Source organism: Homo sapiens, chromosome 18, assembly GCF_000001405.40.
Source record: "Homo sapiens chromosome 18, GRCh38.p14 Primary Assembly".
NCBI lineage: Eukaryota > Metazoa > Chordata > Mammalia > Primates > Hominidae > Homo > Homo sapiens.
In genome coordinates this window covers 3198375-3214385 of record NC_000018.10, presented here as the reverse complement: position 1 = coordinate 3214385, position 16011 = coordinate 3198375, and the positions used below count along the sequence as shown (strand labels likewise).

Sequence of the window (16011 nt, the reverse complement as noted above, 5' to 3'; positions counted from 1 at the left end):
TGTGTTGCCAATTTGCTATTTCTAAGAGCAGGCAAATTTTGCCACAGGTTACTTTAGCAGCAGCAGGGCGAGAAAAGATCATTTCAGTATTCACAGCGGGTTTCCTTGCGCTCAGAATGTTTCTGCCTAGATGAGAAGCTGATATATACAATTTAAAATTCACAGGGCACAGGAGACTGAACTACTGCGAAGATATATTCTATTAAATATTTTTTCAATATCTAATAGCAAATACTTAAAATTCGGAACTACTATTTATGCAGCAGATAATTTCTTTAGCTCGACCATTTGATAAAAACATGGCCCTATCTCAGTCAGTCTAAGAATAATAGGAACCAACCTGTATTCCGACAAAATTAGGTTTATTGACCCAATGCAATGAAGGAGACTAAACACTAGAGGAAAAAAGGTTATTTTAGGTTTCTAGGAAGAGTGGAGCTTAGACGCAGGTCTGGTCTGCAAAGTGAACCCAGGGTGCTATTTCTTTGGAAACAATAAAGTTAAGATAAATGTGGACTGTTGCATCCCCAAGCCCCTTATCTGGGACTTCTCACCAGAAGTGGGAATTGAGGTTGCTTCTCTGCTTCAATTAAGCAACTAAGATCCTGCAGGCAAGAGTGAGATGTTTTATTCTTACTGATATAATTTTAAACAGCAAGCTCACTGATTGTCTTTGATATTAGAGAAGAAAGTTTCTCAGTGAATCTATAGTCACTCAAAGAAGGACGTTACCATGACACTTTACAACAGCAACGTCCCTGGGAGAAATGTCATTTCCTGTTCACTTTGCAGTTGGCTTATCTGTGTCTGCTGTTTCAGCCTGATGAATGTTGGGCAGATATTTACTTTCTCAGTCCAAGGCAAGTTTTATTTTCTTCATATTCAGAATGAAATATTTCATGGAGATTAAAAAACACTTGCAAGATACACGTGACTTTTATTTAAAATCTATCTAGAGTCCACAGAAAAAAACTGCTGATCTTCAAAACATAGACATTTCTGGGCTATGTGGTCGATAACCACCTGCTGCCTCTTTTCCTCTTCTCCAAAGTACCTGGCATAGGTTGCATTTTTTGCTATAAACATAACATACTTTTCAGTCTTACAAAATTTAAGCCCACAAAATATCTGGTAGGGCAACTAGAAAAGCTGTTTTCTCTGGGAATCTAAAAAGTTATTGAGAAAATAATAGAGTGGTCGGTTTAACTAGAAGTGAGGCATGCTTCCAAAGGCAGAAATTCCGAAATCCCTGTTGGGTTTGAGCAGCACCTGATCTACAGCTATCATTTTATCAGTGATGGTGGCCTCCTGGGAGCTTCTGCTGGGTTGAGTAACAGAGCCAGACTCTGCTGGGGTTTACCTGGAGTGTATGATGGCAACACTCTGAAATTCCATTAAAATGGAACAGGATCACTTCGCAGTCTCAATTTCATAGGTCATATTCTGCCGTGGGATATTCATAAGGATCACACATTGGCTGCAGATAGGGAAATACTGTCACTGAGGTGAATTCATTTCTTTTAGCACTTGCCTCAGACGAACTGCTTCCAAATAAAAGCTGGGAGGAATTAATACCATATGTATATGACAGCCTCAATTTGTTTCCCTGAAAAACGTTCTGCAGATATGCTTAAGAACCTCATTTAGGAAAGCACATGTAATAGAGAAAGATTACATTTTAAATATCCATTTTCCTGGACTGTTTGTGCTAGGTTTATAGAAGATGGGCATTTTCATTATAAGGCAGTTGTCAATGTAACTCCTTGTGTACTTATTTCATTTCCCCAGTGCTGTAGAATCTAGAGTTTTATGAATTTGTATTTTTAAAGGATCTTTATTTTCTCAACTCTATTGCAAAATTTTATATTAAAATTATCTTAATTTTATACAAATCCTTCTTTTAGCCACATATGCAATCTTTATATTTATTCATAGTCTGATATATCATTAATAATTAAACCTTTGAGCAAATTTTATTGTGAAAACATTTGCTCTATATAATCCTCGGAAGACTTATCCATTTTGGCCATAAAGAGCCTTAGATAATAAACTTTCTCTAGGGAATGGAACTGTAATTATTTTTCTGTGTTCAAACTCATTACTTTTTCCTTCCTACTATGTATATATTTTTGTAGGTAGGTATTTATTATGGCTTGTTATGTTTGAACAACTTAAACTTTTTGGTAGAAGCATGCTGACCTAGAAACAAGAGGAGGGAAAATGCCAATATGTTTTCCTTTGAATAATTCAATGTGAAAGGCAAAGAAAGCCAACTCAATCCTGAAGGTATTTTAGTCTTTCTTTTTTTAGACCTAGAACACAGGTGCAGATAATATTTTTTGAACACTTCAAAGTCTTCATAATTCCTTTAGGTTGTATTTTAGCTTGCTCAAAATGAAGCAACTTTTTCCTGCTAAATGAAAGCATTCTCTTTGGATTGTGAACAGTGTTGTTGATTAAAACCCCTGGGGTTGGAAATGCATCTCTGTGGAGTGTAAGTGCTCGGCTTGGTCTATTTTTAGCTCTGCTTTGTAGTTAGATGTCCAGGGTTAAAGTGGAAACTATGGAGAGTTACATGTGCTCAGGGCTTGGCTGACCTTAGTGAGTCTTAGGAACAATGACTAGTTTACTGTCAGTGCGCTTGCAGTACAGATCAGTTACCAATTGTGTTCTGAGCCACGAGCTATAAAGTAAATTCTGGATGGCTTACTCTAAATGCCTTTGTTCTTGGTCACAGTGGGAAAAATAAAGAAAATAATTTAGGAAAACAAACTCTTAAAATGACAGATTACTGTTTCATGCTAATAATAACAAAATATCATCAGGATTAAAGGAGCAGTATTACTTATGACCATGTTGCAACCATTAGGCAAGGGTTCTTAACCTCTGTCCATGAATGGTTTCAGTAGAGTCTTGGATGATCTGAAATTATATGCAAAATTATGCACAGATGAGAATTTTTCTGGAGAGAGGGACTGTAGTTTTCATCGGATTTTCAAGGAGCTCCGTGACTCAACAAAGGTCAGAACCATTGCTCTAGAAAGTCTAAAAATGAATAACAGAGAGTCTAGTGTATGACCTGAGGACCTCTTTCCTAATGCCAATGTTATAAGGACTTGGGATGAAATAAGGCAGATGTTTACAGAAAAGGTGGTATTATGGAAAGCAGGGACCTTCCATTCTTGCAAGTAAGCTGGATCATACATTAGGATGAAAATAATTTAAAAAGAATGTTTTCTTATTCTTCTAAGTAGAGTGAATAACTTACAAGAATGAATAGCTTACAAAAACCAGAGAACAGCACAGCAGGTTTCTTAGGTTGTGGGATGATTTAGAGTTGTTCCTCAACCTTCCATGGTGACAGTAGACATTTAGTTGTCTTATTCTAAACAGATTAAAATTCAGCCTATATGACGTAATTCAGCATTGCATTCTCTATACCACTGAGTCTTTACAACAACCCTGAGCAGTAGAAATTTTTATCTTCATTTTATAAATGAGAAAATTGGAAACCAAGGAGATTAAATGACTTTTCTTCATTACACTAGAAAGTAGCAGAGTAGTTATTTGAACCCTCGTCATACCCAGGTCCCCACCCTTTCCACGGGCACCCAATGCCAGTTACAGTCAGCAACTCCCCTTGATCATACACCACCGGGTTTTCCTTGAAGCATCAATATGTAGTTTTTGCATTGTGCTTCCTTTGATTTAGCCTTCTTCTAGAGAAGCTATTGAATACCAAAATAACCAAGATTTACAGCAGGGAACAGCAGATGGAAGGACACAAATTCTAACAAAGAAAACCCAAGGAGTGTCCATGAATGCCAAGCCTGGGACCTTACAGACACTTTAACCCACTATTTAGAATCAGACATAGATATTTGCAAAGGACTCTAAGAGAGCAGTTTGGGGATGAAAACACTGAGGCTTGAGTGACTTTCCCTGGGCACCCTAACTTTAAACCATGCCCCTCACCTACCCCTATGTCACATTGATCAACCACCCCCACTCCCACGTGTCACCCAGATTATAACCTCTTGAAACTACTAGAGTTGGTGAAGACCACACTAACATTCAAAGCTGTTATAATTCAGACAAAAGATACCAATGCTAAAAATAGAGACGACCAAACACAGCAGAGAGTGCAGAGAACTTGAAAGCTTGTTCCATCTCCTACCCCAATATCCTTTCAAAATGTGTTACCAAAGAAATCTGCCTTGTGGACACTTTTGTGTCCTAACCTCAGCTATGAGCTGTAGATTCATGTCATTTTCTACATATCTATTTCTGTAAAATGAGGAAAATGACTGTCCCTCATGTTGTGAGGTCGAAAAGAGATAATCATGTAAGATGTTGAGTGTGGTGGCTGGCACAGGGGGAACACCCAGTGAGGTTTAGGCATTATGAGTCATTCATTCAATAAATATTTACTGAGCGCTAAGCACTGCTCTAGGTGCTTGGGATAAATTACCAAGCACATTGTATTGAATCTATTATATTAAGTAGAATTATATTTTATACCAGAAGGTAATACATGTTATAGAAACAATAAGAAACAGAGCAGGGTAAGAGAGATCAGGGACATGGGCCAAGAGTGCAGGTTAGAATTTTCAAGAGGGCAGTCAGGCCTTGTTGAGAAGGTGATATCTGAGCAAAGAAGTGAAGTAGCTCAGAGAGGTAGCCATGAGGTTATCTGGGTAAAGGTGCACCAGGCATCAGGGACAGCCACTGCCAGGCCTTCCAGCACAGAACAGCATCGAGGCCCATGCAAGGGAATGGGGGAGTGATGGATAGTGCAGGTGGAGAGGATGTCAGAAAGGTGATGGGTTGGGCAGGACTGATCATGGAGGGCCTGTGGGCCATTGAAGGGAGTTGATATTCTGAGTTAAAGAAGGAATCCATGACAGTTTTGAGCAGAATAGCGACATGCTCTGACTCAGTGGTAACAGCATCACTGTGACTGTTGCAGAAGCAAGTTCCCTTGTTAGGAGGCTAGTGCTGTAGTCCAGCCAGGGCCAGATGTGCAGTAAGAGCGGATGTGCGAGCAGTGGCCAGATGTGAGGATCTACTGGTCATGGCTGAGTTCTGAATTCCGTCAGATTTCTCCCAGAGTTCCTCAGCACCCTTAGCCAGGGAGTTTTGAGGCTGTGAAATGGTCTGTGGAGATTTTGCGCATACAATGAATCTTCTGAGACTCTCTTTAGGTGGTATGATGATAGTAAAACCATTCACTTGTTCCCCATTTTCCCAGATTCCCTCTACATCGTGTCAAAGAAATGCCTTATTCTTTTGTTAGTGTTTTTCTGGTATTTAATAGGAAAAGCACCTTGAAATAACCATAGTTGTATGGAGACTCAAATCCATCTGGAGACTGAAGTGACTGAATCTGAATAATAAAAAATATTGAGCCAATTGACTGTTACCGGAAATGAAATTTGCTTAGGAAGCTGCTGATAGTCTGGGCACAGTGGCTCATGCCTGTAATCCCAACACTTGAGGAGGCCAAGGCAGGAGGATTGCTGGAGCCCAGGAGTTTCAGACCAGCCTGGGCAAAATAGTGAAACCTTGTCTCTATTGTTGCTGATATATCAAGGTTTTACTTTTTTTCCTTTAGAAACGATTTTATTGCTTCTTCTCTAAATAAAATTTTAATTATTATATATAAGAAAAAAGCATCATAGTTCATGGGTAACAAAAATCAATACAATATTCTAAGGTTTGTCTTCCAGTATTTAAATACCAACAAAATGATGAGCCACATTATTTCCTGAACGGTAGAAGTTCAGAGGGAAATATCTATGAAAGCAGAAAAGCCAGAGAGTTACTTTGTTTAAAAGGCTGTTGCATTATGGTTTTTTTTTAATAGATGGGATCTTGCCCTGTTGCCCAGGCTGGAGTGCAGTGGTGCGATCTCAGCTCACTGCAACCTCCACCTCCTGGGCTCAGGCAGATCCTCTTGGCTCAGTCCTCTCAGCCCGCAAGTAGCTGGAACTATAGGCGCGTGCCACTATGCCTAGTTAATTTTTGTGTTTTTTGTAGAGACGGGGTTTCACCATGTTGCTCAGGCTGGTCTCAAACTCCCGAGCTAGCTCGGACAATCCACCCACCTTGGCATCCCAAAGTGCTGGGATTACAGGTGTGTGCCACCGTGCCTGGCCTGTTGCATTATGTTCTGAATCCCAAAGACCAACCCTAAATCCAAGGAGAATGGTCCTTTCTATGTATCAGCCTCCTGCTCCAACTTCCTCAGCTGTAAACACAGGGAGAGAGAGCTAGGATTCTCACTCCTGGTAACAACAGGTTCACATAATTGGCAATTTATAGATCCATAGAACTGTGGAATGTTAAAGCAAGAAAGGACCAAAAGTTCATATAATTTAAGCCCCTCCTTTCATAGATGTGTAGACTGAGGCCCAGAAAGATGTGGTTCCTTCTTTGCCTGCTGTGCTTGACTCTTTTACCAGGCTCTCATGCAGCCTAAATCAAGTTGAGATGGCACCAGATATACCCAGAATGGCATAGTCTTCCCTAGGCAGGTGAATCATGCTGTGAGAAGGCATGTCCTTTTCCTAGAGTAGAGCAGAGTAGAATGAGTCAGCCAGAGGCGGAGGAAGGGCAAAGCTGCTACCTCCCTGGGCTCAGAGGTGAAACATTTGCTCTGTCCCTGCAGGCCCTTGGCCTCCATAGTGTCGGCACTGGCCAGGTAGTGGGGTGTAACTGAGCTTCCACAGAGAGACCTCTGGACTCTGGAAGCCCAAGGGTGCCTTTGCAACAGGCTTGAGGTTTCCCACAGCCATCTTTTAGATGAAACAAGAAAGCAAGAGTAAGGTAACTTTCGTGCAATGTCTAGTCAATCCCAGTGACCATCCCAAAGTAGAGTGGATATTGGTGTCTGGGCTGCTTTATAAATAAGTTAATAAGACCTGCTTTGACAAACCCTGGACACCTCAGTTCACAAAGAAACAACCTTAGACTTAGTAAGGCATCTCCTGATACTATTGTCAAGTGTCTTTATACTATAATGTCTAGGAAATATGGGGTTAAACTCTTTTACTCTTGCTTAAAAACTATAATGTAGTCCGATTAAATTCACTTATGGAATAGTCAGAAGTGAATAACAACTGAAGGATGTATATAGACAAGAACCATAAGAGATTTAATTCTCTCAGAGTTTTACACATCCACCTTTTCTAGAACACATGAATATTCTACATTCCTAGGGCATTTGTTTTTATATCATGGCTATACACTAACTGTGTAAAGTTACTGAAAAAGCAAGGAAAATGTTACATATCAATGGAAATTTAAATCATGGAAAAAATAAAGCAATAAATTAAATGAAAAAATTGCGGTTATATTCCTATTTAAATAGTTTTTTTTAAAAAAAACTGAAAGTGAGATATGGCTAAGAGTAAAATGAAGAGAAGAGATTAGTGTAAGATAAATAATGCAAAAAAAATTAAAATCCAAGGGAAGGCTATTTATTTTGACATCATAATATTTATTATGACGCTACCTGTCAGTAAATTTCAAGGATCATGTCGATCTAACTAAATTCATGTTTGTACCATAAGAAACTTTTTCTGAAAAGTGTATTAGCAAAAAGAGGACTCTTCAGCTTTCTACTTGTCCGCGAACTTTGATGTTCTCCTGAAACCTCCATGTGTGTCAAGATTGGGAAATGGGAGAATCAAGAATCAGTAGGTGTTAGGCCACCGGGATTGCCTGTATCAAAGGAGGAGCACAAAACCAAGCTGTTCTCAATCAAAAGTAGATCCAAAACAACGTTTTCACAAAAGTCCAAAGAAAAGTATCATTTTTCAGGTTTTGCGAAGAGGAAATTGTGGCGAACAGAAAATTGGAGAGTAGAAAAGAGAATGCAAATTCCCAGCGACTCTGCACAGGGTCCTAAAGATGAGAGATGTAATTCAGATGCTGAAGCCCTGCGGAGGAGCAGCTAACTGGAGCAAAGACAGCCCAGAAGAGGCCCAGAAAAAGCTGACCCACAGTTTAAAAACATGGCCTCTTTCTCTCTTCCAGTAAACGGCTGAGCATTTCGCATATATGTGAACAGTACGGAGCTGTAAATATATGTAAAGATGAAGTTTTTAAAGGAACATTTTTAGAATAGAAAAAATGAATTCAGCTCTTTTGTGGCCTTTCAGTAAAGCCTAATGAAAACACATAGATAAGTCAGCATTAAAAACAGAGCTTTTCATCCTGGGATGTCCTACCCATCTTTGAATGTCCAGCTCTTCCACGAAGGATTCCCTGATAACCCCAGACAGAAGCTCACTCTCGAGTGTGTGAATTCACATTTTGTTTGCACTGGCCTTTGTGGTTACTGGCCTTCCTTCTTTGTGTTCTTCCATCCTTTCTTCCTTGATTGACATAATATATTTGCTCCCTTACTAGACCGTAAAGCTCTCAGAAGACAAGGGTTTTACATTTATCCTTGTATCCTACTCCTACCCCAGTGCCAAACACAGTATTTTGCACACAGTAGATACTCAATAATTTTTTTTGTCAAATAAATGAAATTGCTACAGAATGTTAAGAAATAAACCCGTGAGGATTTCAGTGGTATTATAACGTGTTATATGTATATACATTGTGAACGATTGAACAAGGAGATTGTTCAATAATGTTTGAAATAAACTTTCTCGTGCACTTTCTGAAATACCAGCTGGGTTGTATGCTAAGTTTACATTTAACTCTATAAGAAACTACCCAGTGGTTTTCCAAAGTGGTTGTACTGTTTTACCTTCCCACAAAAATGTATGGGGATTCTAGTTTATCCACATCCTTGTCAACATTTATTGTTTTCTGTCTTATTTATTATAGCCATTATAATGTGTGTGTAATAGAGTTTTGTTGTGGTTTTGATTTGCATTTGCTTAATGACCAATTTTGTTAACCATCTTTTTTGCATTTAGTAGCCATTTCTGTATCTTCTTTAGTGAAATGCCTATTCAAATGTTTTGCCCATTTTTTAATTGGATTTTTTTCTTATTGAGTTGTCATAGTTATTTAAATGGTTTGGATACAAGTCCTTTATTAGATATGTTTGCAAATATTTTCTCATATTCTGTGCCTTGTCTTTTCCTTCTCTTTACTGCAGTGTCTTTCCAAAACCAGAAGTTTTTAATTTTGATGAAGTTCAGTTCAACAATTTTGTTCCTTTCAAATCATGCTTTTGGTATTTTATCTAAGAACTCTTTGATTAAGTCAACACCTTAGGGAGTTTCTCTGATCTTTTCTTCTAAGAGTTTTACCATTTCAGCACTTATATTTAGAACTGTGATGCATTTTGAAGTAACTTTTTGTGTATAATATTGAGTAAAGCTCTAAATTCGTCCTTTCACATATGGGTTTACAGTACAACTGATTGCCCCAGCACCATTTGTTATAAAGATTATCCCTTCCCCCATTAAATTTCTTGATACCTTTATCAAAAATCACTTGACCATAAATGTAGAGGTTTATTTCTGGACTATCAATTCTGTTCCCTTAATCTATATGCTTGTTCTTATACCAGTACCATAGTGCTACTGTTGCTTTATAAAAAGTTTGAAACTGGTGAATGTAAGTCCTCTTAGTTCTTCTTTTACAATATTGTTTGCCTATGTCGTTCCTTCATATTTCCATATAAATTTTAGAATCACCTTGTCAATTTCTACAAAGAACAAAGTCTACTGGGATTTTGATTAGGATCATGTTGAATCTGTAGATCAATTTTGAAAAAAAGTATCATTTTAATAATGTTGAGTTTTCCATTCCATGAACATGAAATACTTATTTATTTAGTTGTTCTTTCACTTCTCATAATAATGTTTTGTAATTGTCAATGTACAAGTGTTATACTTCTTTGTTAAAGTTATTCCTTAGTATTTTATTCTCTTTGATGCTATTGTGAATGGAGTTGTCTTAATTTAATTTTTGGATTATTCATTGCTAGTATATGGAAATATAATTGATTTTTGTGTTTTGATTTTATATCCTATGACCTTGCTGAACTCATTTATTAGTACCAACAATTTTTGTGTGTATTTTTTAGGATTTTCTACACATAGGATTATATCATCTGTAACAAAAGGTAGATTTACATCTTTTCAATTTTTAAAAAGTTAATTACCCAGACTAGAACCTCCACTACAATGTTGAACAGAAGTGGCAAGAGCAGATCATTGCCTTGTTTCAGTCTTAAGAGGAAAGCATTTGGTTTTTACCATTAAGTATGACATTAGGTGTAGATTTTTCGTAGATGGCCTTTATCAGTTTAAGGAAGTTCCCTTCTGTTTCTATTCTATTGAGAGTTATTAATAAGAATGCTGACTTTTGTCAAATGCTTTTTCTGCATCTATTGAGATGATAATATGGTTTTTGCTTTTTATTCTATTAATATGGTATATTACACTGACTGATTTTCATATGTTAAATCAACCTTGCATTTCTGGGGTAATCTTCACTTGGTTTTATATGTTGCTGGATTCCATTTCTTAATATTTTATGAAGGATTTTTGCGTCTCTATGATGGATATTGGTCTGTAGTTTCCTTTTATTATAACGTCTTTGTTTGCTTTGATATCATGTAATACTGACCTTGTAGAATGAGTTGGAAAGTGTTCCCTTCTCTATTTTTGGAAAAAAAAAAAAAGAGAAATGATTGGTATTATTTCTTTAAGTATTTGATAGACTTCATTAGCGAAGCTATTTGGGCATGGACTTTTCGTTGTAGGAAAATTTTAAATTACCAATTCGAGTTCTTTACTTGTTATTGATCTCTTCAGATTTTGTAATTTTTTCTCAAGTTAGCCTTAGTAATTTGAGTCTTTATAGGAATTTTCCTATTTTGTCTAAGTTGTCTAATTTGTTGGCATAAAGGCATCTACATTATTTCTTTGTGAGCCTCTTAATTCTTATAAGGTTGTTAGTGATGTCTCCTCTTTCATTCTTGATTTTAGTAATTTGTGTCTTCTATTATTTGTAGTCAATTTAGCAAAAGCCTTACTAATTGTCATGATCTTTTCAAAGAACCAACTTTTGTTTCATTAATTTTATTGTTTTTCTGTTTTCTTTTTCATTTATTTCCCCTCTAGTCTTCATTATATTGCCCTTCTGCTTGTTTTGTGTTTAGTTTTATCTTTTTCTAGCTACTTATGATGGAAGCTTAAATTATTAGTTTGAGATCTTCTTTTCTAATATAAACACTTAAAGCTATATATGTCCCTCTAAGTACTGCTTTAGCTGTATCCCATATATTTTAATAAGTTGTGTTTTTGTTTTTATATAGTTCGAAGTATTTTCTAATTTCCTTTGTGATTTCTTCTTGACCAATAGGTTATTTAAAAGTATGTTGTTAGTTTCCTTATATTTGAGAATTTTCTAAATTTTTTTCTATTGTAGATTATTGTTTAATTCTTCTGTTATCTGGGGATATATTTCCCATGATTCTAGCTCTTTTAAATTGATTGAGATTGTTTTGTGGACTACCATATGAACCCTCCTTGAGAATGTTGAAAAGAGTAAGTATTCTGTCGTCCTTGGGTAAAGTACTCAAGAAAGATCAGTCACGTCAAGGTGATTGATAGTGTTTTGCAAGTATTCTATGTTCCTGATGATTTTTTAAATCTAGTTGTTCTATCAGTTATTGAGAGTGGAATATTGAAGTCTCCAACTATTATTTTTCAGTTTTATATTTCTTTCAATTCTGTCATTTTTGCTTTATGTATTTTGGGGATCTGTTGTTAGGTGTATATACATTTACAATTATGCTTTTCTTAGAAATTGACCATTTTATCATATGAAATATTCCTCTTTGTCTCTAATAATATTTCTTGATGTAAAGTATATTATGTTTTATATTACTATAGCTTACCATTTGCATGGTATATATTTTTTATCCTTTTACTAACAAATGTGTCTTTAAATTTAGGGTGTGCCTCTTGTGGCAGCATATAAGTGGATTAGTTGAATCTGTATTTTTCCATTCAGTCTGACAGCCTCTGCCTGTTCCTTGGAGTTTTTTATTCCATTTACGTTTGCTAAAATTACTGATATGGTTGTATTTATGTCTGCCACTTTTTAAAGTATATCTCATTATCTCTTTAATTACTCCTTTATTGCCTTATTTTGTATTAAATGGACCTTTTTAGTGTATTGTTTTAATTCTTTTGTTTCTTGACTATATTCTTTGAGCTATTTTCCTAGGGATTGCCTTAGGAATTACAATATACATATTAACTTATTTCTATCTACTTCAGATAATATATACTCACTGAATACCAGTAAACATAGAAACTTTCCTCTAATATAGCTTCATTTCCTTCTCCCTCCTTTGCACTGTTGTCAAGTATATTACAACTATGAATGTTGTAAACCCAACAACACAATGCAATAAGTATTTTATACAATATTATATCTTTTAAAGAATTTAAGAGAAGCCTGGGTGCAGTGGCTTACATGTGCAATTCCAGCACTTTCAGAGGCCGAGGTGGGTGACTCACTTGAGCTCAAGAGTTTGAGACCAGCCTGGGCAGCATGGTGAAATCCCAGTTCTACAAAAAATACAGAAATTAGCTGGGCATGGTGATGTGTGCCTGTAGTCCCAACTACTTGAGAGGCTGAGGTGGGAGGATGGCTTGAGCCCGGGAGATCGAGGTTATAGTTATGACCACGCCATTGCACTCCAGCCTGGGTGACAGAGCAAGACTCTGTCTCAAAAAAAAAAAAAAGAATTTAATAGAATATATATGTAAAAATTTACATACATATATGTGTATAAGCTTATATACGTATAAATTTATATACATATGTGTGTATAAACTTATATACATATATGTGCATGTACATGTGTGTATGTGTGTATGTACACACACTGTCTTTTGTATTTACCCAATTATTTACTGTCTGGTTGTTCTCCATCTTTTCGTGTGGGTTTAAATTACAATTAAATTACCTTTAGTCTTTTTTTCTTTTTTTTTTTGAGACGGAGTCTCACTCTGTCGCCAGGGCTGGAGTGCAGTGTGGCACGATCTTGGCTCACTGCAAGCTCTGCCTCCCAGGTTCAAGCAATTCTCCTGCCTCAGCCTCCTGAGTAGCTGGGATTACAGGAGTGCACCACCATGCCCGGCTAATTTTTGTATTTTTAGTAGAGGCAGGGTTCCACCATGTTGGACAGGCTGGTCTCAAACTCCTGACCTCAAGTGATGCACCCCCTTCAGCCTCCCAAAGTGCTAGGATTACAGGCATGAGCCACTGCGCCCGGCCAGATATAGAATTCTTGATTAACATTGTTTTTCAGCACTTAAATATGTCATGTCGGTGCCATTTTTCCTGATGAGAAGTCTACCATTAACAGTATTATTGTTCCCCTGTGTGTAAAGAATCATTTTACTCTTGATGCTTTCAAGGTTTCTCTCTGGCTTTGACTTTCAACAGTTTGACTTCGATATTTCCAGGTCTAAGTATCTTTTTCTGTGTTATTCTACTTGGGTTTTTTGAGCATCTTGGATCCATAGATTAATATTTTCATCAAATTTTGGAAGCTTTAGTCTATTATTTCTTCAAATATATTTTCCTGCCCTTTCTCTCTCTCTTCCCTTTCTGGCACTGCCATTACTCATATGTTAGTATGTTTGACATTGTCTCACACGTTTCTGAGGCTCTTTTAATTTTTCTTTATTCTTTTATCTCTCTTTGCTTTAGAATGGGTAATTTCTATTTTCAACTTTATTGATTATTTCTTCCCTTATCTAACATCTGCTGTTGAGTCCCTCTAAGAAATTTTCATTTGTTATCGTACTTTTTAACTCCAGAGTGTCCTTTGATTTTATTTTATAATTTATATTTCTTTGTTGACATTCTCTATTTGTTGAGTCACTGTTGTAATACATTCCTTTAACTCTTTAAACATGGTTTCCTTCAGTTTTTGAACATATTTATAATTGCTGCTTTGAAGTCTTTGTCTGCTAAACCCAACATCAAGGACAACCCAGAGACAATTTTTGCTTACTACTATTTTCCCATTGGTGTGGGTTACATTTTCCTATTTCTTGGCATGTCTCATAACTTTTATTGTTGTTAAAAATGGGACATGTCAGATAATATATTGTTACAATTCTGAATTCTGAATTTTCCTCAGAGTGTGTTGTTGCTGTATTTTGGTTTTGTTTTTTGTTTTTTGGGTTTTTTTGTTTTTGTTTTTGTTTTTGTTTTCAGCTGGAGTCTCACTCTGTTGCCCAGTCTGGAGTGCAGTGGTGTGATCTCAGTTTTGTTTAATAATAATTTGGCTGGACATGCTTGTAGAATCTCCTTAACTGCTGTGTGGCTGCAGGTGTCTCTGCTCAGCTTTGTTTTGTTTTTTAAATTCTTGTTCTCATTTTTAAGCCGGAATTCCTAGGAATCACACTGTGTTTGCATAGATTAATGGTGGTCAGACATTGTGCCCAAACAGCTCAAGACAGTAAATCTTCCACCCTCTGGCAGTAGATCTGAGTGTGTGTTAGGGAGCACAGCTAAAGTGTGCAGGTAATTTTTTTTTTTTTGAGACGGAGTCTCACTCTGTCACCCAGGCTGGAGTGCAGTGGCACGATCTCAGCTCGCTGCAACCTCCACCTCCCGGGTTCAAGTGATTCTCCTGCCTCAGCCTCTAGAGTAGCTGGGACTATAGGCATGTGCCACCATGCCTAGCTAATTTTTGTATTTTTAGTAGAGACAGGGTTTCACCATGTTGACCAGGATGGTCTTGATTTCTTGACCTCGTGATCCACCCACCTTGGCCTCCCAAAGTGCTGGGATTACAGGTGTGAGCCACCGTGCCCAGCCGGTGTGCAGGTAATTTTTACGTAAATCTGGTTTTGCTTAATTCCAGGCTCTCTTGCCTGTCCTCTGCACATGTGCACAGGCTTGCAGTCAACCAATGATGTGTGGAAAACTTGGCCCTCTCCAATTTTTCCCACACATATATGTATGGAGAGCTTATGAAGGACCCTGTGACTACCTTATTTTCCAGATCTTCCTGGTAAATTTCTGGCTGATCTACCAATCTGCTGCTTGCCCCAAGCCTGACTGTAACCTCAGGCTAGCTGAGCTGCTGGTTTTCCCTTGTTTGTTTGCCACCTAGATTATTGCTACTGTTATTCACAGTGCTGCTGGATGTGGGGTTTTATCACATTGTTCCCCAAATCAAGTCAGTCTTCCCTGGCTGCTCCTTTTCATGCCTTTTCTCATCTTGGTTGAACTACCTTATGGACTAAGCTGGGGGTAAGGGATGGGAGAAGCCTAGGCAGGAATGACACCCTGCTCATACGTGAAGTTCAGTTGTTTGTTTGTTCTATGAATAGCGAATTCTCAGTGTAGTGTACGCCTTTGATTGATTTTCAGAGCCCTGATTGGTTATTTTTGACAATGTGTTATATATCATCACTGCTTTGGGGAGAGGAACTGAGGAACTACTCCTTCCACCATACTGGAAGTCCCACCTCTGCATCAGTCATTTTTAATCATTCCTCAGCTGATTCTGATGTGAAACCAGGGTTGAGAATCCTTGAGCTAGGGTTTTACTACAGGAGAATAAATCTTTTTTTTTTTTTTTCTTTTTTTGAGACAGAGTCTCCCTCTGTCACCCAGGCTGGAGGGCAGTGGTGCGATCTTGGCTCACTGCAACCTCCCTCTTCCGGGTTGAAGCAGTTCTCTGCCACAGCCTCCTTAGTAGCTGGGATTACAGGCGCCCGCCACCACGCCCAGCTAAGTTTTGTATTTTTAGTAGAGACGGGGTTTCACCATCTTGGCCAGGCTGGTCGTGAACTCCTGACCTCCTGATCCACCCACCTCGGCCTCCCAAAGTGCTGAGATTACAGGTGTAAGCCACTGCGCCTGGCCATAAATCTTTATTTCACTTCATTCAGTAAACATTTATTGAATTATGTCAGGCACTGGGCACAGTGCTGAGAATATAAAAATCACTGAGACCATCCCTCTTCTGGAGTAGTCACAGGCAGTGGGAAAGAC

General features: G+C 37.6%; 1 protein-coding gene across 7 annotated transcripts in view; it reads left to right on the top strand.

Moving 5' to 3' along the window:
* MYOM1 (myomesin 1) overlaps window positions 1-16011 on the top strand; it is a 180570-nt gene that overhangs the window by 32991 nt on the left and 131568 nt on the right. The gene's annotated exons all lie outside the window — the stretch shown is intronic.